Source organism: Homo sapiens, chromosome 6 (assembly GCF_000001405.40).
Source record: "Homo sapiens chromosome 6, GRCh38.p14 Primary Assembly".
Lineage (NCBI taxonomy): Eukaryota > Metazoa > Chordata > Mammalia > Primates > Hominidae > Homo > Homo sapiens.
The window spans coordinates 19,310,869-19,335,713 of record NC_000006.12 but is presented as its reverse complement, the minus strand read 5'-3'; the positions used below and the strand labels follow the sequence as shown (position 1 = coordinate 19,335,713).

General features: G+C 40.0%; 2 long non-coding RNA genes across 2 annotated transcripts, besides 2 other annotated features; both read left to right on the top strand.

Annotated features, from left to right (window-relative positions):
• The first annotated feature begins 4,810 nt into the window (after window positions 1-4,810).
• Window positions 4,811-12,651, top strand: LOC107986575 (uncharacterized). Its single transcript, XR_001744014.3, has 2 exons — window positions 4,811-5,085; window positions 9,916-12,651. It is a non-coding gene; the product is annotated as an uncharacterized LOC107986575 (long non-coding RNA).
• A 777-nt stretch (window positions 12,652-13,428) lies between these two features.
• Window positions 13,429-18,662, top strand: LOC105374961 (uncharacterized). The gene is made up of 3 exons (XR_926561.3): window positions 13,429-13,521; window positions 14,693-14,796; window positions 18,442-18,662. It is a non-coding gene; the product is annotated as an uncharacterized LOC105374961 (long non-coding RNA).
• Window positions 22,633-23,418: an enhancer, noted in NCBI's record as "OCT4-NANOG-H3K27ac-H3K4me1 hESC enhancer chr6:19312527-19313312 (GRCh37/hg19 assembly coordinates)". NCBI's record gives its function as "activates a minimal SCP1, AML or CMV promoter by ChIP-STARR-seq in naive and primed H9 embryonic stem cells {active_cell/tissue: H9 hESC(naive and primed)}" and the evidence as "EXISTENCE:reporter gene assay evidence [ECO:0000049][PMID:30033119]".
• Window positions 23,419-24,203: an enhancer, noted in NCBI's record as "OCT4-NANOG-H3K27ac-H3K4me1 hESC enhancer chr6:19311742-19312526 (GRCh37/hg19 assembly coordinates)". NCBI's record gives its function as "activates a minimal SCP1, AML or CMV promoter by ChIP-STARR-seq in naive H9 embryonic stem cells {active_cell/tissue: H9 hESC(naive)}" and the evidence as "EXISTENCE:reporter gene assay evidence [ECO:0000049][PMID:30033119]".

Below are 24,845 nucleotides of genomic sequence, written 5' to 3'. Positions count from 1 at the left end.
CTCTACCTCGTGGATTCAAGCAATTCTCCCTGCCTCAGCCTCCCGAGTAGCTGGGATTACAGGCATGAGCCATGATGCCTGGCTAATTTTTGTATTTTTCAGTAGAGACAGGGTTTCACCATGTTGGCCCAGCTGGTCTTGAACTCCTGACCTCAGGTGATCCGCCCACCTCAGCCTCCCAAAGCGCTGGGATTACAGGCGTGAGCCACCGCAGTCGGCCTCAATAAATTTTAGTCGTTATATTACTAGTAGTAAAGGTTAAACAAAAGATATAAAACACTTCATTTTATTTTATATATTTTGGTAAAGTTTCTTTGGATAAAAAATATTGGGGGAGAATCCACTGATAAGAAAGCCAGAACATTTTAATATCGGGGGAGGATTTCTAACAAAAGGTGATAGTTACTGAAATTGATGCTCTAGGAGAAGAGAGTAGGACTGAGGCTGGAGAAAGCCCTTCAGGCAAAATGGACTCATTAGTAATGGGGCATGTGCTTCAGAACTCTATTCCAATAACTACTCTGTGATTTACGTACTCTGGCATTGGTGAATATGTTATATTTTTTGCACAGCTTATTGGTGGAAAAATAATTATTTCCTATGCTATTTCATTTTTAGGTGATCTGTATCCAACTTTCTTAGCCTATTGCACATCCAACAGCTTTTCGTAACACGACTAAAACAAAGCTAATTTTAGCTGGATGAGGATCATAGCCATTTATGGTTTGACACTAGTTAGCCTGAGAAAAGAGATTGAAAATGACTTCAAGAAGATTGAATATGTTTCAAAACATTTTTATTTCCACATGAGGAGCAAATCTACTATCTATGTGATAGTCTGCAAAGAGAAAAGAATGTCTTTCCAAATCTCTAAATTAAGGATTTTACTTAATGATATCATTTGATATGTAGCTGAAGTTGTTAAAGTTTATCTAATATTTATGGTAACCCCATGGTACGTACAGTATAGAAGAAAGAAAATGGGCTTTGGAGTTGGATCTCAATTGCAAATCCAACTCCTTAACCTCTTAACTACCCACCTACCCAACTCTACCTTTTTCCTTTATCTGTAAAATCAGAATAATAATACCTTATATATAAGATTGTGGCAGTGATTAAATGTTTAAAAGCACATAAAATGCTTAGAACAGCAACTATGGCATAATGCTCATACAGTCATGGCATAAATAGTAATTCTATTTTGCTTTCTAGTAATCAAATTTTTTATTGGATTGTCATTAACTCACTTCTTTTTAATACTTTCAGTTAAATAGCTATGTATCCTAATAGAATCTTGTTAAAATGATAAACTGTGAAAACATGTCATCTTAGTATCCAAGGTGAATGAATCTAATACTGTATTTTGTTCTTAGTGAAAACTATTACATCAAAGTTCCAATTTTTGTTCTCTAGCTCACAAAAGAAGAAACTCAAACACGTGAAAGTTTCCCTAGTTTCTTCTTCTTGGTTTCCTACATAGTGAGATAGGCAGAACCAAAATAAATGTTTACCATGTTTCATTGTCTTTTTCACCCTATCAGAGGTTTACAATGTGTGCATCAGAGGTCAGATTAAGTCCAAGGATGTGGCTGTCAGTGACTCAGTCAAGGAGGGGGCATGTAAGCCAACTCCAAGCCCAAGTTGAAGTTAGAAAAACATACCTTTGGAGAGGCCTCGCTTTCCATTTTGCTACCACTTTTCTTATTTCTGGCCTTCTTTTTTGGTCCTCTTTTTACACTCAAACTTTTGTGGTACAGGAACAGAAAACCACGTACTGCATATTCTCACTTATAAACGGGAGCTAACCACTGAGTACACAAAGAAGGGAGCAGACGCTGGGGCCTACTTGAGGGTGGAGGGAGGGAGAAGAGTGAGGATCAAAAAACTACCTATCAAGGGCCGGGCACGGTGGCTCACGCCTGTAATCACAGCACTTTGGGAGGCCGAGGCGGGCAGATCACGAGGTCAGGAGATCGAGACCATCCTGGCTAACACGGTGAAACCCGTCTCTACTAAAAATACAAAAAATTAGCCGGGTGCCATGGTGGGCGCCTGTAGTCCCAGCTACTCAGGAGGCTGAGGCAGGAGAATGGCGTGAACCCGGGAGGCGGAGCTTGCAGTGAGCCGAGATGGCGCCACTGCACTCCAGCCTGGGTGACAGAGCAAGACTCCAACTCAAAAAAAAAAAAAAAAAAAAAAGAAAAAAGAAAAAAAAACTACCTATCAAGTACTATGCTTATTACCATCTGGGTGAAGAAGTAATCTGTATGCCAAACCCCCATGATACGCAATTTACCCCCATGATACGCAATTTACTTATGTAACACACTTGCAAGTTTACCCCTGAACCTAAAATAAAAGTTTCTAAATAAATAAATAAATAAATGAAGGGCAAACAACACCAACAACAAGAAAAACATCTTTCGTGGTAAATCATTTCTTGCCCCAGCCTTGTCATCACAGTCGGAAGTGGAGCAGAAAACTGGCCTGAAAAATAACGAGGCAGGTTCTTGTTCTAGGTTGCTTATTAACTACGTAGGTGATCTTACAGAGCAAGCCACTTTTTTGGGTTTCTTAAGTTAGAGAGGCAAATGAGATTTATCAATTTGTGTAAATTTTATTACATTTTGACATGATATGATACATTACCCTGATAAGGGTTTATGTTGTTTTCTTTGTTATATTTGCATTTCAATCTAAACTTGTAAAGCCTGTCTAGCTAACTGGTTCTAGTGGGGGAAGTGATATAATAATCTCCTATTCCTGGATCTCGACTCCCTGTCTTATGAAAGGTCAGAGTAGTATTAGTTCCCTAGACTGTAGGCAACCTATCAGTGCATCAAAATTATTGGAGGGGATTTGTAAATCTGTAGCTGCTCTACCATTGGAAACTCAGAGTGGCTCAGGCAGGAGGTTGGTGAAAGATCTGTGTTTTTGGCCAAGCGCGATAGCTCATGCCTGTAATCCCAGCACTTTGGGAGGCCAAGGCGGGTGGATCACCTGAGGTCAAGGGTTCGAGACCAGCCTGGACAACATGGTACCGCATATTCTCACTCATAGGTGGGAATTGAACAATGAGAACACATGGACACAGGAAGGGGAACATCACACTCTGGTGACTGTTGTGGGGTGGGGGGAGGGGGGAGGGATAGCACTGGGAGGTATACCTAATGCTAGATGATGAGTTAGTGGGTGCAGCGCACCAGCATGGCACATGTATACATATGTAACTAACCGCACATTGTGCACATGTACCCTAAAACTTAAAGTATAATTATAATAAATTTAAAAAAAAAACAGACAACATGGTGAAACCCCGTCTCTACTGAAAATACAAAAATTAGCTGGGCGTGGTGGTTCACATTTGTAATGCCAGTTACTTGGGAGGCTGAGGCAGGAGAATCGCTTGAACCTGGGAGGTGGAGGTTGCAGTGAGCTGAGATTGTGGAGATTGTGCCACTGCCTTCCATCCTGGGTGACAGAGTGAGACTCAGTCTCAAAAAAGGAAAAAAAAAGTTGTATTTTTAAAAGAATCACAGATAATTTTGATGCTTACTCAGAGTTGTGAGTCTTAGTGGCTGTGTTAAGCTGGTTGAATTGCCTCCTTCCTCCACATCTACAGAAAACACTGTGTCTTACTGGGTCTTTTAGAAAGCAGATCCTAAGACAAGGAATCAATGTTAACATTTTACTGGGGATGCAAGATCATGGCAATGAAGGTGAGAGTGAAAGATACAGGAAGCAAAGTAAGAATGGAATGCAATGTCTTATCACCTTGGCTACTACTTTATAATAAGCCATAGCAGGTCACTCAATAGAGTTGTTAATTCTGTACATGAGGATTTTGCAGAAAGTTTATAGGGAGAACCTCTCTCCAGAGTAACCCACAGACAGAAAGAATGGGAAATGTATTTGCCTAGCTATCTCCCATCTCTCACTTCTAACTGGCCTAGTTTCACTCCATGAGGAGTTAACTCCCTATCCTCTGGGCTCTGTCATCTGGTTCATTCACCATTTCTCCAGAAACAGATCCTGTATCTCACAGTGTGGTGTTTTACTAAAATACAGTAATGGAAGGGTGACCTGACATGGGTCTTTCTCACTGATAAAATGAGAAAGAGAAAGAGAGAAAGAGAGATAAGTTGAGAGCCTCCGAAAAGATGAACAATATTTGTGTCTCAATATACATAGTTATAATCCACTCTTTGGGGAAAGTTATCAGCCCCTCACCTAGGATATGTCATAAAAGCAATTGTCCTAATGAAATGCAAAAGCTGGTTCATTTACAGCACAGGCATTAAAATCCATGAGAGAGATTTCTGGGAAGCCCAACTCCAAAGAAAATGGTAATTTCTTGGAAATTTTAATATGTGCATTTGGTATTGGGTATTATTAACAGAGTGTGAATGGTAATTCAACCGAAAATGATTTCAAGGTCTAAAGTGTCTGCCACAGAAACAAAAATTTCAGGGAAACATTATATTCAAACAGAGCTGCTGGAGTTCATTTAGCTTGTTCACATACAGCTTGAAAGCTGTGTTTGAAATTTGTGCACACATGTAAATTGACAATTAGCCCTTGGCCACGGGTACATCTTAGGCACTAGAAAATCAACTCGTAAACTTCATATCTCATTCCACTCTTTTAACTGGAAGTGAACTATTTGGCCCTCTCTATTTCACTTTACAGGAAGTATATTTATTCCACTTGGGCATAATTTTAGCCCCTGTGCTCGCTCTTTCTTTCTTTCTTTTCTTTTTTTTTTGAGATGGAGTCTCATTCTGTCGCCCAGGCTGGAGTGCAGTGGCGTAACCTCGGCTCACTGCAACCTCCATCTCCCCAGGTTTCAGCATTTCTCCTGCCTCAGCTTCCCAAGTAGCTGGGATTGCAGGAGCGTGCCACCATGCCCAGCTAATTTTTGTATTTTTAGTAGAGACTGGGTTTCACCATGTTGTCCAGGCTGGTCTCAAACTCCTGACCTCAAGGGATCCACCCACCTCAACTTCTCAAAGTGCTGGGATTACAGGCATGAGCCACCGCACCTGGCCTCCTGTGCTCTTATGTTGAAGTCCAGTCATCACAGAGGTAAGTCAGACCTTTGTCCAATGACTCATGAATACTTTATACTCTTTTCCACACCCTACCTCCCACCCCACCCCCATTTTAAAAAGAATAGGTAGGTAGGAAGTGACACTGATAAAAATTTCTGTCTTGCTAGCCCAGGATGATACAAGCTTATGAATGATAGACATTTATATGCTCTGTATATATCTTCTGACAAATTATGTGTTTTCTTTATCTTGAACCATGTAGTTCATTGCTAGCCTCTCTCAAAATGCACAAGGAGAAGAATGATACTTAAATCTTTGTGACCATTTGAAATCTAATTTAAGTATGTATCCAAAAAATTGAGTTATAGTATCACTTAGATTGGGTGCAATCATGTCAAAGATAGTTTATGAATTACAAAGGAATGGGTCATAAAAGAAGAGACTTTCCCCATCCCCCTTGGAGATCTGTTTATTTGGCAATTAACAATGGACTAGAGTATCTTTCTAAAATCGTGTCCCGTGACTTCAGAGTTTAATCTAATATTGAATTCATTTTATATATTTTTAACAGCCTGTACTCCATTTAGCTGTCAGAATGAACCTTTTAAAAGGATGAATCACATCTTGATGCTTATGACATCTCAGTACTCTAGTGGTTTCCCATCACATTTTGAATAGAGTCTAAAGTCGGGGGCCTACAGGACCCTATATGATCTGGCCCTTGGCTAGCTTACTAATATGAACATCCAGGACTCTCTTACCCACTCTACTTCAGCCACACTGAGCTTCCAGAGTGAGACTTAGCAGACTTAAACTAGTGGTTACCAAAAGTAGGCAGATTTGAGACATATTTTGGATGCAGAACAGACAGGTCTTACTGACAGATTAAATTGGAAAGTTGAAGAAAAAGAGAAATAAAGAAAACAGAAAACCAAATACCACATGTTCTCACTTATAAGTGGGAACTAAATGATGAGGACTCATGAACACAAAGAAGGGAACAGCAGACACTGGGTTCCACTTGAGGGTGGGGGTAGGAGCAAGGAGAGGAGCAGAAAAGATAACTATTGGGTACGTGGCTTAATGTCTGGTTGATGAAATACTCTGTACGACAAACCCCCGTGACACAAGTTTACCTGTGTAACAAACCTTCATACGTACCCCTGAACCTGAAATAAAACTTTAAAAAAGGAAAGAATTATTTTGGGTTATAATAGCGACAATAAATATTAGCTCTTTCTATGAGTATTATCCCACATTAATAAGAACTAGATAAATGATCACGCTGAATATGTGGCAGTGATAAATCCTGCTTTAGTTTGTGTGTTAGGTGCTATATTAGGGTCAGAATTTAGTGTTTTCTTCACCTGTGAGTCAGCAGTTCTCCCAGTTTTATGGATGGCAGAACCGTTTATCTTTGGAAGAGCTGCCACTATTCAAGTTCATGATTTACTTTAGCACTTCTAATATTTCTCGAAGTTGGTTCCCAAGCCACAGCCAATGGAATATTCATTTTAAAATGCAAGCCCAATTCCTCTCTGGAGATAGGACCTAGGAATCTTCATTTTAACTTGTACCCCATGATCCTTATAGATTCTGAGCTTGAAAATCACTGCTTTAACAGATTTCTTGGGAACTTATATACTTTGTTGGGTTTATTAGAAGTTGAACTTGAGTTGTCTTCACTCCACCTTCACAGAGAAACTCACCGTCTCTCAGACCAAGAAAACATTTAACTGAAAGGCCTGGAGATGATGAATGAGATTGAGTTCCCTTCTCTAGGAAATGGGTTATTTTTCGGACCATGCAGGAAGAGTGTACTTTGGCACCCATTGTCTTGATGTATTGGGAGAAGATGATTCAGATTCATACAGCTGGTACGCTGGTACATTCCTACACTGCTGCTTCAGGGGGATAAACTAGGTTCCCAGAAATTGTGTGGCAGGATGCGCTCCATCTCTCCTCTAGAACATGCATACTGTCTTAACAACTTATATTTGTTCTGTTTTTTTTTTTTTTTTTTGACATGCTTTCACAGGGACATAGTGGAATGCCAAGTCCTGATAAATCCAAGATAAAACAAAAAAGAAAGCAGTTCCATCACCTCTATCCTTCTTTCTTTTCCAGACTTCCTAAAGGTTAGGAAATTCTTGAGGATTTCTTTTTTCATCATATTCAAAACACACACACACACACACACACACACACACACACACACACACACACACACACATATATATATATATATATATATATCCTGGTCTCCAATTTTAAATACAAGACAAATCCTTTACAGTCCCAGAAAGGAGGGCATTGACCAGTCCCAGCTCAGTTCCCACCTGGGGAATTCCATACATATACAAATTTAAATTCAATTTACCACATTCACATGAAAAGGGACTGGTTTTCTAAGCCCGATGATGGGAGTGACATTGAATACAAGATTGTGTAGCACTTTAAAGAACTTTCCTTTTATTAGCAGCTCCATAATCACATTAACTTAGTCTGAGAATTCAAACTAATTCTTTCCCTAGAGGCCCGAGCAGTAATAATTGTAGAAATCTGTGAAAAAGGATAAATACAATTCAATAATTATATTGATAAATAAAATGAAAATCAACTAATTGTGTCATTCACTCAGATGCTCGCCTCGGCTGTTGCTGGCTTTCTGCTTCACTGCCTGCTAAACTTTTACTGTCACACTTCAATAAATTTAATTGTGCAGAATAAATGAGCTAATTTTTGAAGTCACAGGCTCTGTTTGCAAGATAAGGGCGGTGATTTATTGACCTCTTCTAGCTCTGTAAGAGCATCACACTCCTCCACTGACAACTTGGCATCGGCCGTTTTCCTTTCTGCCGGTTCCCCTCACAGCTCTTGCTAGTTCTGTCCTAACCTTCCCTCTCTCCTCTCATCTTCTTTCAAGAAATCACTGGCTGCATATCTTAAACAGTCCGGCAGGCCCTGCTTCCCGTTGGTTTCAGAAGAACATTCTGGTCTCTGTAGTAGTTCTTCATAGGGTGATGAATTATTTTTCCATTTCTGCAGCTATCTGAACCTATCCTTCAGAACTAAAGCCTCAGGTTGTGAACTTCTACCTTTCGACATCCCATGGCAAAATCCAGCTCATCTGTAGTTGTGATACAGATAATGGAGACAATGGCTTTTGCTCTTGGACTTAAAACAGTTTCTTGCAACAGGCACACTGATGTCACACCAGATCAAAACTCCTGATTAAACACAATGTTTCAAAGCGAGGTCACTTCCTGCATGTTGGGTTGAGATATGACAACTTAAAATATAACCACTCAAAATGCCAAGAATTATTTGAATAAGCAAAATAGAATTTGCTTGTAATGTAGAGAATATGCCTTGGACCAAATGCCTTAGTGTCTGAAATAGCTTTTATATACAATATCTCCTGAATGATGTACAGTGTATATTAACAACTGACTGTTTCCCATGTAAGCCTCATATTTTTAATACACGCCAAAGAACTTGTATTCATTATACCTTCTCACAGTGTCCGGCTTCTTTGGCAATACCTGGAATTAGTAGGTGTTCAACAAATAATTGATGAATTAACACATTAATTAATGAATACATTGCATTGATATAAAAGTTATATTACATGAATACTTGCATGTATATTTCAGCTTATTATGGCACAATTTGGAAGACATGCAATTTTATGTCAATTTTATGCCAAATGGTAGTAGCATAGTGATCTCTAAGCAGTGGGACCAAATTAGGGTTGAGAAGAAGCCTCTAAAGGGAGAGTAGAAAAATAACTATCTTTTAATAGAGAAGGCCTTGTAAAGCATCATCAGGCATCTAAATGTTATTCCAATTTGTACACAAAGAAAATATGTTTCACAGCATAGCATAGCCATCTATCTACCAAGGGAGTTCCACAGACAGATCTCTCAGATCTCTCAGAGGGGTCTGTCAACCATCAGCTCACTGTGGGCTCAGTTGTCCGCCTCACCTGGCATGAAGAAAAGCAGTGGAACTATATACTAAGATTTGAGGTTCTTAGTACAATGGCTTCAGTCCTCTGATTATGGAAGCTCAGAGTCACAAATTTACAGCTGGGTAAAAGGGCTAGCAAAATATGAGTGTGTGTGTGTGTGTGTGTGTGTGTATGTGTGTAAATTAGCTAGATCTCTTGAATATTAAGAAGACAAACACTTTACTTTTCAATTTATCTTTTTCTTTTTTTACTTTCCTTTAACTGCTTTCCTCCTGTTATTTTCCAACCTTGTGCTCCACTGTCTTTTCTCCTTCAAATGGGTGAGATCTCTTTGAAGTCTGAGAATGTGGCTTGAGGAAGGGAAGAGCTGGCTGCAGTGCCGCTCCTAATGAAGACTTACGTGATAGCATTGCCTTGAAGCTCAGCACTACCTGCCCAGGTAGTTAGACCCAGTCTCCAGGTGTTTGCTTGCAAGAAGTCATAGTGTCATTGCAAATCAGGATAGATTCCCTGACAGGCAGAGAAGAACTTTCCACACTGGTGCTCTTGCTGTCATTGTTACCATCTTTGTTGCAAAAACAATCATTCCTTGATAATACCATGTTTAAAAGAGCCATTGAGTAAGTATAAGATTTTAATTACCTGATGTATCAGCAAAGGACAGAGGTGGGCTCTCATAGTATTGACTATGCCCTATTTTCCTCATGGGAAAATACCCCCTTAAGCTATTAATACAACTGGAAGAACTGCTAGGTCTTTTCTACACAGCTTTCCTCATTCTTGCCAAAGTGTTTATTGAATCCTTAACTAAAACCACTTGTGCTCTTGAACTCTCTTCTTGGAAAAAAGAAAGAAACTAAAAATACTGAACTATTATTGTTTCTTTCTCAGAGGTACACAAAGAAGGATTACCACAGGAAATCCAGAGAGGCTTTAGAAGACGAGCTTGCGTTGAGATAGAAGCCGGAAGCCCACTTAGCCAACTGCCTCCATGGGACTTGGCATGAGGCAGGCTTATGACAGTAAATGCTACACTGCCCTCAGTGAAAAAGAGAATTTGGCATTCATTCTTCTGAACCCGCCATCCCTCAGCCTTGGCGCCTGGGAATTCTGCGAATCGTTGCCTGTGGCAGTGACACTGATTTGTATCTGGGTATGAACTTAAATGAAAACATGAATTGAACTCATTACTTGAGGAAGGAAACACTGCCAAATTTAACAGGATGAAATTCCAGCAGGGTGTAAGGTTTTATGGGGCTACAGTGGAATATCTCATAGAAAGGTTTCCAGTTCATAAAACACTTTCAAAACATGCTCGGCCCTTTTAAGTTGAAGGGACATTATCATTTCTATCTATGGCATTTCTCTGCAAATTGAACTCAAATATCCTTTGGGCTGACTACACAGAGAACAGAAGAAAGAAGTGGAAGAAACTTGGACTGAAGATTGCCTCCCTGAAAAGGTTTTCTTCAGGCAGAATTAGGTGAGAACAAATGACATCAGAAAGTAGCATGTCAGTATACTGCTGCCAGCTCCATATGGTTCAGCTTGTTTTCACAGGTATTTAATTAATTCCACAAACATATATTGAGTATCAGATGTGGGATCCTGTTCAACACATTTGGGGTACAGTAGTCAATTAGTCTACTCTCATGGCACATACATGCTGGAAGGAGAGAAAAACAATAAATAAATGAACAAAAGATGCAGTATCAGGTAGTGATCATTGCTATCAAGAAAAATAAAGCAAGAGAAAATGGGATAGAAGGTGTCAGGGGTGCGGGGTGACATTTTACATAGTGTGTTTGGCAAAGGCAATTCTCAGGTGGTGACATTTGAACAGAAGCTTGAATGAAGTGACCTACATGTTGAATCCAGAAAGCTAATTTTATATATATATATTTTTGGAAGGGGGCAGGAGATAATAAGCTAGTAAAAGGGTTGGGAAATTATTTTGATTCAAGGATGCCCAGTTTAAAAAACTGTAAGAGACAGCCCCTCTTTTTCTCCCAGTATAGCGCTTTCGGTGGCCATTTGAATAGAGCTCTGCATGTTTCCTTGGGATTTTCTGGTGTTCATGGCATAACAACCAGCCAGCAGTCTTCTGGCTGGACCACGTTTTACTTGCTAGCAAGGAGCAGAAGCTGTGGAAATTGGCATGTAGAGATGTAAAAGGATTTTATACTTTTCAGCCTGGGCAGAAAATTATAGAGAAAAGTAGGTGGGAGTCAGAAAAACATGAAATGAGAAAGAAAAGCATAATCTGAGTGAGTTCTCTCTCTTTTTTTTTTTGTTTTCTATGTTTATCTTTCCACAGCTTTTTCACTGGCTCTGTTAAAAAGCAAATATCACTGCAAACTTCATTTCATTTTCTCTCAACAGATGAAATAAAGCTTGTTAAAATGTTTTTCCCTTCTGTCAGGTGCAAACTCCATGTTAGCAGGTTTGAAAACTTTCACATGTTCAGATAGCAATGGAGGTTTTAACTTGGCCAACATCAACAAACAAACCATGAGTCCCTCACGTGTGCAATGCTTGCATAGAATGAAATTGAGTATGAGCATGTTTGCCAACCCTACTACAAATGGTTTATTTAGAATAGTAGAATGTGAAAAATACAGATTTATTTTTAATAGCTAGTACCATGATGATTATTGATTTTTTCTTCCAGATTATTAATTTAAATAGCAAAATTATGCTACATGTTTAAAATATGTCTGTATCCTGAAAGTACTTATTGTAAGCTTAAGCCCAGTCTTATTTCTAAAAAGATAATTTGTAGGAGGTATAATTTTCATTTGTATTCATGTATATTAATATATTTTTTGGTGTTACACTGTTGCATGAGGATAGCTGTAAGGTCAGGATATTTAGGAAACCTCTGAATTGAACATTGAGCTTGTGGATCTAATATTTAAGTAACTGGTTTCTGTCTACGTACTCTTTTCTCTTCCGTGGTAAGCCCTGCAGGCAAGCTCACTTCTCTATGTTCTCAGTTGTAAATGAGGAAAGTAGGACGAGGTATGGAGCTGGAGGGTAAATGGCAGAATAGAAGACAGAGTGCCATTCTGCGTAAGAGCACCACCTTTTGTGTTTGGCAGGCTTGGTTTTAGTCCTGATTTTTCCAGGTCCAAGTATAATCTGGAGCATTTCTCAAATTCACTAAACCTCAGTTTCACCTTCTGTAAAACGAAGCTATTTCATTGAGTTATTTTGGGTTACATATGTAAAATTTACAGCCAAATACTTAACACTCAAGTCTGTCAAGAAACAATTCCAAATATTTTATAATAAATATATAAAAAACTTTCACAATTCATGGAATTTACTTCTTGATTAGTTGCCATGGTCTATGGTTATAATGAAATGTACTCTTGGCAGTCCTGGATAGAGAAGCTCTTGAACCACAACCACAACCATTACCTTGGAGATGTCGAAACTGCCCTTTTCCCCGAGACCATCATTAGTGCTTTCCACGAACCTGGATGATAACCTCACGTTCACCTTTCAAAGCCAAGAATAACAAGAGAATTGAATGTAATGATAATGTTTCTTCTTAAAATTATGCCAAATCCGACTTAGTTGATGTGAGTTCTGCTTTTTAAATTAAAGAAAGTACAAAGTCTATTTTGTGGGTTGGCTAAAAGGGCACTGGTTAAAGAAAACAATGGTTATTTGTTTCTGATGTACAAATGATCCACACAGACACATCTTTAGATGAAACCCCAAATTCTTTACTGGTTGGGTTCTACAAAGAGTGACAGTAGTAATTTGGTGAAGCAGCAGGGGGCAGAGGACTCTTGGTGGTAAGTTAACTTGATTCTACTTTGAAAACTCTGATTAATTGTGCATAGCTGTGCACATACACACACCACATAAACAAAATTCCTGGAATCTGACTGAACCTTATTAAAGATTCATGTCCCTGTAAGTGTAGAGTATAAATCCTATTTAATAAAAAGAATCCTTGTGCCACTGGTAGTAATGTTGGCTAGTGTTGAGAAGATAAAAAGAAGAGAGGTAAAAATAAATATAATGATCAGCTTTTTTTGAGAAATTATAATCTATTAAACTCTAATAATAACTCATTATTTTTTCTTAATGAATGCATGCAGAGGAATTCTATTTCTAAGTAAAGAGTTATAATTATATCAAACCAGCACAATGATTTATTGAGTGTTTACTATGCGGCACAGACTCTGATAGGCACTTTAACCTACACTATTTAATTTAATCCTCACAATGACCCAGAACATAGTATTATTCTCCCTGTTTTCTAGATAGAAAAAATTTAAAAGCCCCCAAATGCACAAGTAGCTCAAACAAGGTCATGTAATAGGTAAGACAGAAAATCTGCATTTGAACCCAGGTCTCATGATTCCAAGTTCCATATTCTACATAAGCATTGTTAGATATGATTTAACAATAATGTATAGGCTTTTTTTTTCATTTCTCCTTTAGCAACACAATGACTGTCAAAGAGCTCATAAGAGATTGGTCAGTGAAACCCTTAAGCTTCATTTGGTCCATCTGTAAGAATTTGGCTCAGTAAATTTTTGTCAAGTACATATTAGGGCGGTAATCACTTGAATTATTTCTTGAGCATTTATAAGTAATTGTCCAATGCCATAATCTCCAAAGCTTGTTATCTATTAAACCTAGGTGGAGGATAAGAGCTTACAATTAGCATCCGAGCAGAGTCTCTCCACCCACCAGGTCCAAAATTTTCTACCGGTTGCCCATTAATTCTAAGGACAGGACTGGTTACATAATGTTTAAGTCTTTGTGAATACGATGTGGAACCCCTTGTTTGAAAGTATCAAGAATTTTAAGGCAGCAACAGCAGAGCCTTAAACCAAGCCTGGGGGTCTTTCTGAGCCGGGCCCAGAAACCACTTCCATGTAAAGAGATAGGTGTTTTACCTTAGGACACTCAAATTGCATCCCAAAGAAGTAGAGCCTGATGAAGTTCATTGGTTCAGCAGCATCAGTGAAAAAACTAGAAGGGAGTGTAGACAGTAGCTTAGGAGGAAGTAGAAACCAGCCTGAAGTTTGGAAATCAGATTTATCTCTTAGGGATGGAAGAAGAAAGCAAGGACTCCGTCTTCTGTATACAGCCTTCAAGAGCCATACAGTAGTATGTCTACAAACCTTGCTGAACAGATTATTTTCTTTGGTTAATTTTCATCCCTTTACCTCTTCTTCTGTCCCTAGAGATATGGCATCTTCCCTGCATTGATCCCTAATAATAGTGTCTAAAATGTAATTTGAGGGATTTTTATGGGAATAAGCCTTGTGTCATATTTTTAATGGAATATCCTGTAGGTCTAGGAGGGCAAAGGCCATGCTTGTCTTATTCATTGTCCCATCCGATCCTCAGCACCAAGTACATGCCTACCACATAACAGGTGCTCAATAAATATTTGATGAATAATTGAAACCTTAGATAATTGAAAGAAAGTTGAGGGGAAGAAGTAAGAATGACCGAAAAATTATGCCAGTGAATAAAATGGTAGAAGAATTGTTTCTATTTATAAAACTGTGTAGAAGACCAAGTCAACAATGTCAGTTTTTTTAAATTGTAAATCTAATGACAGCGATGCTATCTCTACATCCACATAGCCTACTTATTTGCTTTTTTTTTGTTTTTGTTTTTATTTTACCACAAGGAACTGCTTTTGCAATAAGTAAAGTCAATGAAGAAAGTAAGAGGATTGCAAAGGTTTCCCCCGCTGATTCTGCCAACAGAAATGTTTTTATTGTGCTGCTTTGGGTGAGTAGGATGAGTTAGGCTCAAAACTAAAATCAGATGAATGAAAGTTTGTGTGCGTGTGCATGTGTTTATTCACACACATGCATATGCACACACACACACACAGTGGCCCTCATTAGTAAATTATTTGAAAAACAAATGAAGCAGAGGTAAAATTTGGAAGATGAAATAGATAATATGCCCTTTGTGCTACAGAACGTACCATGGTATATCAGAAAAGCAAACAGGCAAGTCCAGAAAAACTTGGAGACCTCAGGAAGCCACCAGCATACACAGAGGACTGAAGTTGCATTTTTTCTTCTCTTCCCCAAACGTTCAGTCCAATAGCAACTAATCCTAGGGAACTAAAAATATACGAAGTGTACAGTAACTCCCTTCTTTGGCTCTTTCTATAATGTATACAAATCTGACTGATAAAAGGCCCAATTCACTCAGCAGAGAGCTGGCTTCTGTCTGATGGAATTTCACTGTGGAGTTTTCACAGTGAGAGCAGTTGGAGCCTTTGTACCTCCCATCCTTCTCTGTGGGAGACACAGCCTCATGGATCTGAGCGATAGCAATGAGCAGTCTGGGACAAGTCAGTCACTGTGTCTGCAGGCATCTGACAAGAGGAGAATATGATTGCAGCAACATGTTGGGGAAGTCTGGCTTTCTCCCTCAAAGCCCTCTTTATTCTAAGGTTACCTGGCATTGCATAAGAGCCAAGCGGGCAAATTAAATTCCTTCTATTCAGCCTTGCAGAGAGGTGAAAAAACTCATCTCCTGGCTGGCAGTATTTGTTGTTGGCTCTGCCCTTTCCAGTGGCAGGCAGTTGGGCATCCAATAGCCAGATCGGTCAAGAGTACTGTTTTTTTTATATTTATTTATATCTGGACTTTATTTAATTCCTTCAAGATTTTCTGAATTAATTTTAGGCCCTGTGTTTGTGTAATTAGACTAATTTCCACAGCTATGATTCCATTTATGACCTTGTATTTCTCTGTCTCCAAAAGAACTTGTATCTAGGATGACCATAGCATCAGGTATTTCTTCAATTTTTGTACACTTCATTTTTTCAGTTTCTGCATTCAGAATTATTCAAATAATTGTCTTGTTACTTTTGAAACCTTTGGCCTAGTAATCGCTTGGGGTCTGGGGTAGGTTGGGGAGTACATTCTGTGCCAGTTACGGTGGTTGCTATCATTGTCTTGTGTTTTGATTTGTTCTTACAATGGCTAGGTTGAGATTAAAATATCTCAAAGTGAAATTATGTTCACAAAAGGAGGAAAGATCTTCAAAGTTAGTTCAAGTCATTGGTTGATCTGGCAAGCCTATGTTGAACCAGTTGTACAAATTTGCAGATTCTGCTAATAGCTATAATTTCTTAGGTGAAAGAGCCACAGGTTAGCTAACATCCCTAAGTAAATTCAAATTTTTACCCAAAGAAATCAGAGGCTTGGGTTAAGAGAGGACTTCCAGGGCAAGTGCTATGATCTTTAAGAAATCACAGAGCATGGGAGAATAGACTAGAAGCAGGCAGTCAGGCAAATGTAACTCTTCTGAGAGACAGAGAAGAAAGAATGAAAAAGGGGGCGGAAGAATGGAAGGATGGAAGGAAAGAAGGAAGAAGGGGGAGGCAAAGAAGAAAAGAAGGAAGGAAGGAAGGAAAAAGAAAGGAAGAAAGAGAAAGGGAAGAGAAAGAAGAAAAGAGAGGAAGGAAGGAAGAAAGGGAGGAAGGAAGGAAGGGAGGGAAGAAAGCAAGGAGGGAGGGAGGAAGGAAGGAAAGAAGGAAGGAAGAGAGGAAGGAGAGGGAAGGAAGGAAGAAAAAGAAAAGGAGAGGAGGGAAGAGAAAGAAGGAAAGAGAAGGAGAAGGAAGAAAGGAGGGAAAGGAGGAAGAAAATAATACAAAGAACAAAACTATTAATTTGACATTAGCTCAAGAGAAAATTCTAGATTGGATTAATAAAATGATGTTTTGTAAGCATTTAAAACATTCAGATGGGAAGAGTGTATCTTGGCTTCAGCAAGACATATGACATTGCGTTTTTTATATGCTTATTATCATACAATTATGTACAGTAGTAGATAATGAAACAGAACAAACTCATTGAGTGCTGTGTATTCATGGTAGGATGCCACAGTCTGTCTCCTTGACCTTGTCCTGTTACACATCTTAGTAATCAATTAATTGGGCTGGGTGCGGTGGCTCAGGCCTGTAATCACAGCACTTTGGGAGGCCAAGGCGGGTGGGTCACCAGGTCAGGAGTTTAAGACCAGCCTGGCCAAGATGGTGAAACCCCGTATCTACTAGAAATAAAAAATTAGCCAGGTATGCTGATGGGTGCCTGTAATCCCAGCTCCTCAGGAGGCTGAGGCAGGAGAATCACTTGAACCCAGGATGCGGAGATTGCAGTGAGCCAAGATCATGCCACTACACTCCAGCCTGGGTGAAAGAACAAGACTCCATCTCAATAATAATAATAATCTTCAATTAATTGAATAGGAATAGCAAGGTGGTTAAGAAGACGAATTCTGGAGCAAGAGTGTCTGCACTGAAACCTGACTCTGCTACTTATTATCTTTGTGACCTTAGGCAATCTACTTTACCTTGTTGTATCTCAATTCCTTCATCCTCAAAATGAGAATAGTCATAATATTCATCTCATAATTTTATTCTGAATATTGAATTTAAAATGCTTAGAATAAGGACTGGCATATAAGAAGCACTAAGGGTTAGCTAATATCAACATCAATAATAATAATACAGAGATGATATGCTTATTAAATTTAATAAAGAGCAGAGGTTGGGAGAAACAATGACATTGTGAGATATAAACTCACACTAACAAGATGATATTTAAGACAGAGAGATGTGAAGTTCCATCCCCAAAAGTTAACTGGATTATAGTTGACTTCCATCTCAAAGTGAGCCATTTATTCTTTGGTCTTTAAACACCAACCAGGTACTAGCCACAGTGTAAAGTGCTGTTAAAGAGAAGAGTGAGAGCAAGAGGGAGATTCAGTTTGAGGCTGCATCAATGGGATTCACGGGAATATATGCTCCCAACCAAGTAATCTGCTGCCCTGGTCAACTACATGTTGAGAACTGGATTCAATTCTAGCTAACACATTGTAAGACACTGGCAAACTGCCAAGTGTCCAAAGGATATCAGTCAACGTGGTGAGGGATTCCTAACCATGACTTGTAAGAAAAAATCAGGGATGTGTGAACTGGAAAGAGTAAGAGTAAGAAGACTAACGATAAGTTTATTGGACTGGTCTAAGTGTATGGCTATTGTCCCAGTATAATTGCAATTTGCATTGTATTTCACTCTCAAAAGTGCCCTAGTTTGACAATAAAAATATGATCTCTCTAATGATGGCTTCCAAACATTTGGAGAGGATGTATTATACTTATTCCTCAGCCAAGTTTCATATTTGCATGTGATGACAATGTAACTGGAAGTATCATAAGCAAACAAGAAGGGCTTATTGGCTCACATAACCAAATGGTGGGAAAGTCAGAAAAAGGGCTAGCCATAGTGAAAACTAGGACCAGGGTGTTTCTCTCTCTCTCTCTCTCTCTCTCTCTCTCTCTCTCTCTTTTCTCTCTCACTTACTTTTACAACAAACTTGATATTATCTTACTGCGTTATGTTCCCCCAGACTGTCATTCATCAAGCAACCAGAGAGAAAAGAAGGCTCTTTACTGTCAGCTAAGCCTGAAAAATACTTGGAAAGTACTTTGCTTCCCTGGGCTTGGGTCATGGACAAGGTGAGGGGTAGGATTGGGAGGCATGCTGGGTGGACTAAAAGAACAACTACTGTAAGCTGCTATCAGCCAAGGAAAGGCACAGAAATACAGAGTTCCACCCTCACGCAACCACAGGGGCAGCCCTATGAAGATGAGTTTCTGACAGTTAAAGGCATTTAGTTAGCCACTGGGTGACATGTACAGAAGGATTCATGTTTTGAATTGGAAGTTTTTTTAATTTTTAGGCAATACCAAGATGCTTTACTTCCACAAACTTCTCTTACATTTTTTGCATAATTAATTACAAAGAATTGGAGTTCCAAGTGTAAAAAAATGAAATAATCACCACTTTAAGAACTGCGCTGCATCCCAAGGGACCCAAGGATTGCTACAAAAGTATTCAAATTGGCCCAATTAAGCTACATAATGAATTTAGACAGTACTCTCGAAGGCCATTTTGTGTTCTGTTTTTCTGTGATTCCAGAAAACCAATCATGGCAAAGGTGGGGGCATTTGCTTCTGTGGTGCTGAGCATAACTCGAACTATTTGAAAATCACATTAAGTCTCTGAACAAGAGAACCTTCTGGACCAACAATGATGGGAGCTGTCATCAAGGAATAAAAATGTTAATTGAAGATTTGATGAGCTCTCCCCTCATAATTTGATTAGTCTGTTCTTAAAAATTGCAAAGCAGGGAGATGCTACAAGAATCTTCAGTATTGTGGGCTCTAAGGCTGTCCTAAAAAAATACCACAGGCTGTGTGGCTTAAACATCAGTAATTGATTTCCTCACAGTTCCAGAAGCTGAAAATCTTAGATCAAAGTGTCAGTCAGGCTGGTTTCTTCTGAGGCCCTTCCCTTTGGCATGTAGATGGCCGTCTTCTCTCTGTATCCTCACATGGTCTTCTCTCTGTGCTTTTGTCCTCCTCTCCTTTTTTTTTTTTTTTTTTTTTTTTTTTAGACGGAGTTTCGCTCTTGTTGCCCAGGCTAGAGTGCAATGGCACAGTGGCACAATCTCAGCTCACCACAACCTCTGCCTCTCAGGTTCAAGCGATTCTTTTGCCTCAGCCTCCCAAGTAGCTGGGACTACGGGCATGAGCCACCATGCCTGGCTAATTTTGTATTTTTAGTAGAGACAGGGTTTCTCCATGTTGGTCAGGGTGGTCTCGAACTCCCGACCCCAGGTGATCCACCCACCTTGGCCTCCCAAAGTGCTGGGATTACAGGCATGAGTCATCGCACCTGGCCTCATCTCCTCTTCTTAAAGGGACACCAGTCAGATTAAATTAGGGTGCACCCTCAAGACCTCATTTTAACATAATCACCCAATTAAAGACCCATTCACCAAATACAGTCACATTCTGAGGCACTGGGGGTTAGGACTTCAACATGTCAACACTGGGGGGACATAATTCAGCCCAGAGCATATGCTTACCACTTTGTCAGAATTTCTTCCTTAGAGATCATTTCTATGTCTTCTAATTTGCTTTGAGTCCATTTTGTTTCTCCTCCCACCTTCAGTAGAGATGGAGAATTGATTACTATTCCCCAAACAATAACTTTTCAGCAGTTGGTAGGAGATGATTCCCTTCCTTAGCAATCTCTTCTATTCCTTTTGCCTTTGTGTTTTTGAGATGGAGTTTCGCTCTTGTTGCCCAGGCTGGAGTGGAGTGGCACCATCTCGGCTCACTGCAACCTCCACCTCCCGGGTTCAAGCAATTCTCCTGCCTCAGGCTCCCGAGTAGCTGGGATTACAGGCGCGCACAACCACGCCCGGCTAATTTTTGCATTTTTTAGTAGAGATGGGTTTCACCATGTTGGCCAAGCTAGTCCTCAACTCCTGAACTCAGGTGATTCGCCCACCTTGGCCTCTCAAAGTGCTGGGGTTACAGATGTGAGCCACCACACCTAGCTTCCTTTTGCCATTTTTTTTAAAAAAAAATGTGTCTTACTTTCCAGTGCAAATAATTATTTTATGGTTCTCAAGTGTTGCATTTCTGTTGCATGTGCGCAAGATCAGACTTGTTTCTAAGCTACGTTACAGCCTCCATGTTCATCTCACGGTTCAGTGTGACTCTTATGTCTATATCATTGTTCTTTGTTTTATTGATTTTGAACTCTTCTGCCTAAAGGACCTCACCACAGTTTGAATGACATGTTGTTCTTAAGCTTCTTCTGCAATCTGTCATGGTAATTTTGAATTTTATCTCAGTGGAATTAGGAGATATCCTTTTATCTATAAAACGTGAACCACTCAGTGAGGTTGCTGCTATCGCCCAACTCAACACAAATGTACATTGAGACGCAGGAAGGTTAAGTAAATTGCTAAGGTCTCACACACAGAAGATGACAAACCTTGGGTTTCTAACATAGTGTGTCTGAGCTTAAGTTGCAGACATCATAACCTTTCTACTCCATCTTTTGGTATCAGTACCTCCTCTGTACCATTTCATCTTTCAACCACTTCCCGAGGCTCTCAGAATTATAACCTGAAGTCATCTTTCTTCTCTCTTGCTTGCCATATCTGATCAGTCATCAAGTCCTATTGATTTTCTCTTAACACTTTTATTTTGCATCCTGTTTCATTTACTGCCAACATCAAGTTCAGGTCCTTTCCATTTTACCTGTTGCCTAATTTAATAGCCTTCTAATTTGTCTCTTAGTTTGCCCCTCTCTTCACTAATTCACTCAGGCTTCTGAAAGAACTTCTCATCCTGAGGGTCCCCCTCTCCCATCAGTCCCTGCATTCCTGTTGCCTAATGAGGTATTAAAGACTGAACTGTGTCCTAACCCAAATTTCTATGTTGTAGCTTTAATCCCCAATGTGACTATATCTGGAGGTATGGCCTTTAATAAGGTAATTAACACTAAATGATGTCATTAGGATGAGGCCCTAATTTAATATGACCGGTGTCCTTATAAGAAGAAAGAGAAAGATTAGGAATATGCATGCATAGAGACTTACTGTGAGGATGCAGAGAGAAAGTGGCCATCTGCAAGCCAAGAAGAGAGGCCACAGGAGAAACCAAACCTGCTGACACCTTGACGTTGGACTTACAGACTCCAGAACAGAGAGAAATAAATTTCTATTGCTTATACCACCAGCTCTAGTCTTTTGTTATGGTAGTCAGAGCAGACTAATACAAGAAGGAAGTGTAAATTCCTCATCCAGAAAATACGACCCCTCAACAATTCAACCCCATTCATAAAAGTACTTCCCATTCCCATGAAACCCCTCAACACGTAGTTCTCTTTCTTCTCCAGGCTTTAGTTTATTTCTGGGAGGGCCTCCTCTCACCTTTTCACTTATGTAGGTTCCACTTTAGGAACGAGGTCCAGTCTCACTCCTGTTTCCTTACTAGGCTGGAAACCTTTTGTGGGGACTATGCCTTCAAATTAGTATCCCTTGAGGGACCTAGTGCAATGCCTGGCCCTGATGCCCAACAAGTGTCTATTGATTGAGTCATTCATTCACCTGCATTGTCTTGATTTCTCTGGTACTTGCCCTTTCATTGAAATCTTCTGGCTGTTTTGCAGCACTCAGAGCTTTAAAGTATTATAGCCTAAATGGTAACAATGGTGAGCATTGCCTTCTTAGAAAAAGTGGGGGCTGTCATCTAAAGAGAACTTATTTACACCAACTCCTAATATTCAGAAACTATGGAATAGTTATGAATAAATTTCTTCCCAATAATGAGCCTTTCTGCTATAATGTGTATACACAAATGCCCACATATGCATACATGTGCACACACACACACACACACACACACACACGTGCTGCCTCTTGCAACACAATGACAGGAGACAATCAGCCACAATTCCCTTAAATGACAATTCTATGGTACCCTTGCCTCATTTTTTGCTCTGTTGGCACTTAAACATTTACTTTGTGGGAGAAAATTATTTTGGGAAAGAGGAGAGAAATCTTTTTTTTTTTCCTTTTCAATTTTAGGGTTAAAGCCGAGCATGATGGCTCACGCCTGTAATCCTTGCACTTTGGGAGGCTGAGGCAGGTGGATCACCTGACGTCAGGAGTTCAAGACCAGCCTGGCCAACATGGTGAAACCCTGTCTCTACTAAAAATGCAAAATTAGCTGGGCATGGTGGCACATGCCTATAATCCCAGCTACTCAGGAGGCTGAGGCAGGAGAATTGCTTGAACCCGGGAGGTGGAGGTTGCAGTGAGCCGAGATTGCGCCATTGCACTCCAGCCTGGGCAACAAGAGTGAAACTCCATCTCAAAAAAAAAAAAAAAAAAAAAAGGGTTAAATGGGTAGAACACTCTTGTAACTTGTCTGTCCAGGTTCTTTGATGTTAAAGATTGGGAATGAAGTCCCACTTCCTCCCTTCTTTTTCCAGCTAAAACCCTGAAGGCATGCTCTTAGGTGGCTCTGAGGTATGTGTAGTTAAGGAAGTTGTTTAGAATCCTGTTAAGTCTTTCCTCAAAGGCAGTGAATAAAATGCACTTTCCACTTCTCAGCTATAACAAAGAAACCCACCATTAACATAGGAAAGCCTCTTGTTTGCATTTTTTAACAGCTGACATTTGTACCTTTTGGAGAAAAGTGAAGGGCATCTCATTGCTTCCTTGTTTAAATCAGCCTGGAAATAATGGGGATGATAGGGAAGCAGGGCTAATTTCCTTTGTCTCCTATTCAACAGATAATGGTGGTCTGTGTGGGGTGTTAAAGGCCAGGCAACCGCGGTGACCCGGAGATGACTTCATTCTTCCAAGGTTTATCAAAGGCTCCTGTCAGTCAAACTCATGCTGGGAGACTGGGGAATGGCCATCTGGCTTGCTGTTCTTCAGGGAGGAGAGAGGAGAGTGAGGAGATGCAAAATCTCACTGTCAGCCCTGAGCCAGGTGGAAGGGTGATACATTTGGGGTGGATTTAGCCCCTCTTGTGCACACACGCATAAGACAAATAAACGTGAGGCTCTCTATGAGAGACAGAGACAGAGACAGAGATACTAGGAAGAGGAGGAGAAACGGGAAGGGTGAGATGGAGACTTTTGTTTAAGGCAGCGTGATCATCTTGAATCGATTTTAAGTGGGAAGACTGAAGGTCACTCATGCTGCTAACCATGCAGAGAAACCTCTGAATTGTTTCCCTGGCTGTGGTAAAGAAGGAGAGTAAGTGGCTCCCAGCAGGGAACTGATTTAATTTAAAGCACAATGTTTCTGTTCTGAAGCCAGAATTCTTTCATCCTAGCCATGTTGATTACAAGTACTAACAAGGTATTACAAGAGACACTACCAGGAAATCTTCCCCTCTCCCTTCACTCCTAGTCAACTGCTGGTGAACTGGGGACACACAGCAGGGTCTCCCCACAAGGCAGCTCAAAAAGCCATCCTTTCTGGGAAGCTGCCTCCTCAAGCCGCCCTGGTTTGGGTTCCCTTTTAATATGAGAGTTCCTACCAGTAGCTGCAATTTACACAGCCCTAGGAAACAACTGTTTTGTTTTTTCTTAGATTTGCCTTTCTTTTTCATTTTAAAAATTGATACATAACATTTGTACATATATATGGGTTGCATGTGATATTTTGTTACATGAATTCAGTGTGTAATGATCAAGTCAGAGTATTTGGGGTATCCATTACCTTGAGTATTTATCATTTCTATGTGGTGGGAATATTTCAAATCCTCTCTTCTAGCTACCTGAAAACATACAATAAATTGTCAGCTAGGGTCATCCTACTCTGCTGTCAAACATTATACTTATTCTTCCTGTCTAACAGTACATTTATGCCCATTAACCAACCTCTCTTCATCACACCTCCTACCCCCTCACACACACCCTTCCAGAGCTACCCCCATGAGATCAACTTTTTCTGGAGACAGAGTCTTGCTCTGTCGCCCAGGCTGAGGTGGCACGATCTCGGCTCACTGCAAGCTCCTCCTCCCGGGTTCACGTCATTCTCCTGCCTCAGCCTCCCAAGTAGCTGGGACTACAGTCGCCCACCACCATGCCTGGCTAATTTTTTGTATTTTTAGTAGAGACGGGGTTTCACTGTGTTAGCCCGGATGGTCTCGATCTCTTGACCTCATGATCCGCCCGCCTTGGCCTCCCAAAATGCTGGGATTACAGGCGTGAGCCACTGCGCCTGGCCGAGATCAACTTTTTAAGCTTCTACATATGAGTGAGAACATGTGATATTTGCCTTTCTGTGCCTGACTTATTTCGCTTGACATAAGACATTTTTGCCCCCTGGACATTGCAAGTATTGAACTCAAGGATGCCTCAACACTTCAAAGATCTTTAAGGACAGAGCCTTTTTTTTCCTTTCTTTCTTCCTTTTTATTTTGATAA